Below are 2663 nucleotides of genomic sequence, written 5' to 3' on the forward strand. Positions count from 1 at the left end.
GGAGTCACCTTTCTATATCTCTTTCTTGCATGTTTTATTTTTGTTTCTAACAAAAAGATAATTCTGTGACAGCAGTCTTATGTCAAAGGCACAGAAGAGAGGAATGAATTAAAAGATTGATAGAGCTTCATTTGAATAGGCAGTAACACAAGCTGGAAAACTGCTGACACTAAAAAAAATAAAAGTGAATTTGGATAAATGTTTTTCATGATGGCATTTAATTGATGCTGCCAAGATTGAAGAAATACTCCACTTTTGCTTCTTGAAACTTTATTTGTTTAAAAGATTTTAATGTCCCTCCCTGCCTCACTCCAAAGAAAAAACGAAAACCTAAGTAATATTTTTATTAAATCTTTGTGGATAACCAATTACAATTTATATATAGCAAATACATTTTCTAAGTTTTTCAGACAGTCTCGATTGAAATTGTAAATAAACTAGTCATAATCACTGCTGTCATCACCATCATTGATCGTTAGCAACAGCAGCAAATAATCACTACTGTCTTCATCATCATCAATTGTTAGCAACAACAGCAACAGTGTTACCACCTTCCTCTCTTGTCCTATGCTTCTGCCTTTGTAGATGTCATATGTTTTATAGCATATATTTAAGTTGCATAACATGATGTTTTGACATGCTCGTACACAAAAAATGGTCATGAAAACCAACTAAATTAACATACCCTTCATGTTTTTCTTTTTCGGTGGCAAGAGCACCTAAAATCTACTCTCATGTGTTTTAGTTGATTTATGGCAATAAAGTTTCACTCCATGTCTTTGGAAGAAAAAGAAAAAATGTGTTTAATTTTTCAGGTAAATTACTTTTAATAAATGGAATATTAATTATTTAAATAATATCAGCCATATTCAATAACCATTACTTTGATTCTTTTTTTTTAAATTATACTTTAAGTTCTGGGATACATGTGTAGAATGTGCAGGTTTGTTACATAGGTATACATGTGCCATGGTGGTTTCTGCACTCATCAACCCATCATCTAGGTTTTCAGCTCCAGATGCATTAGCTATTTGTCCTAATGTTATCCCTCCCTTTGCCCCACACCTCCTGACAGGCCCCGGTGTGTGATGTTCCCCTCCCCGTGTCCATGTGTTCTCATTGTTCAATTCCCACTTATGAGTGAGAACATGCAGTGTTTGGTTTTCTGTTCCTGTGTTAGTTTGTTGAGAATGATGACACATTAAAAAGTTTATTCACTACAATCAAGTCGGCTTCATCCCTGGGATGCAAGGCTGGTTCAACATACGCAAATCAATAAATGTAATCCATCACATAAACAGAACAAATGACAAAAACCACGTAATTATCCCAATAGATGCAGAAAAGGCCTTTGATAAAATTCAACACCCTTCATGCTAAAAACACTCAATAAACTAGGTATTGATGGAACATATCTCAAAATAATAAGAGCTATTTATGACAAACCCACAGCCAATATCATACTGAATGGGCAAAAGATGGAAGCATTCCCTTTGAAAGCCGGCACGAGACAAGGACGCCCTCTCACACCACTCCTATTCAACATAGGGTTGGAAGTTCTGGCCAGAGCAATCATGCAAGAGAAAGAAATAAAGGGTATTCAATTAGGACAAGAGGAAGTCAAATTGTCCCTGTTTGCAGATGACATGATTGTATATTTAGAAAACCCCATTGTCTCAGCCCCAAATCTCCTTAAGCTGATAAGCAACTTCAGCAAAGTCTCAGGATACAAAATCAATGTGCAAAAGTTACAAGCATTTCTGTACACCAATAATAGACAAACAGAGAGCCAAATCATGAGTGAATTCCCATTCACAATTGCTACAAAGAGAATAAAATACCTAGGAATACAACTTTGATTCTTAATAAAATTCCATGCATCAAACCAAATGACTAATATTTTATTTAAATATATCTTCATATTTATTAAAGATAGCATTTCGAGTGTGGTGGCAAAATCACAGAAGCAAAGATTTTAATTTTAAAATATTTCACTGAGAAAGTGAAGAAAACTAGTTTCTTTGCAGAGAAGTTGAGACAATGTTACATTCCAAGTGTGACAAAGTTATAGAGGAACCTGACTAGTAAGGACAAGAGAAAGCTACTTGTGATGCTGTGATCCTCCCCTCTTTCTCTTTTTTTATATTTTGTTCCATCAATTTGTTCAACAAATATTTATTGAGCAGTTATTATATGTTAGGCATATGCTGGGTGTATTATCTTTGAAAGGCAATGCAAAGTAAATAGCCAGAGAGTGAGAGGTGTTATTTCAGTTAGGGTAGTCAGGGAAGCCTCTTCAATGTGAAATGAGCTGAGAAAAGACCTGAATAAAATGAGAGAGAGCAGGAGAAAGAAATGCACATACGTGGGAAGATTATGTCAGGCAGAGGAACCAGCATGAGTTACCCTTGGATTGTCTGTTTTTCCCTGATTTATGTGATTGCCACCATTGGCTTGGTCATATTCTTATAAAACTTAACTGCCCTAGTCACAATTGCTTAGTTCAGTCTAGTGTCTGAATGAAATTGCAATAGTCAGCATTTTTCTCTGGGATTTTTTTCTAAACATCTGAATGAGTATAGATAGAAACTATGTCTGCAGTTATGAGACCTGTAAGTCAGAAGTAAAGAATTAAGCATTAAAAAGGCATGGTGGCTTACGCT

This window comes from Homo sapiens, chromosome 1 (genome assembly GCF_000001405.40).
Source record: "Homo sapiens chromosome 1, GRCh38.p14 Primary Assembly".
Taxonomy (NCBI): Eukaryota; Metazoa; Chordata; class Mammalia; order Primates; family Hominidae; genus Homo; species Homo sapiens.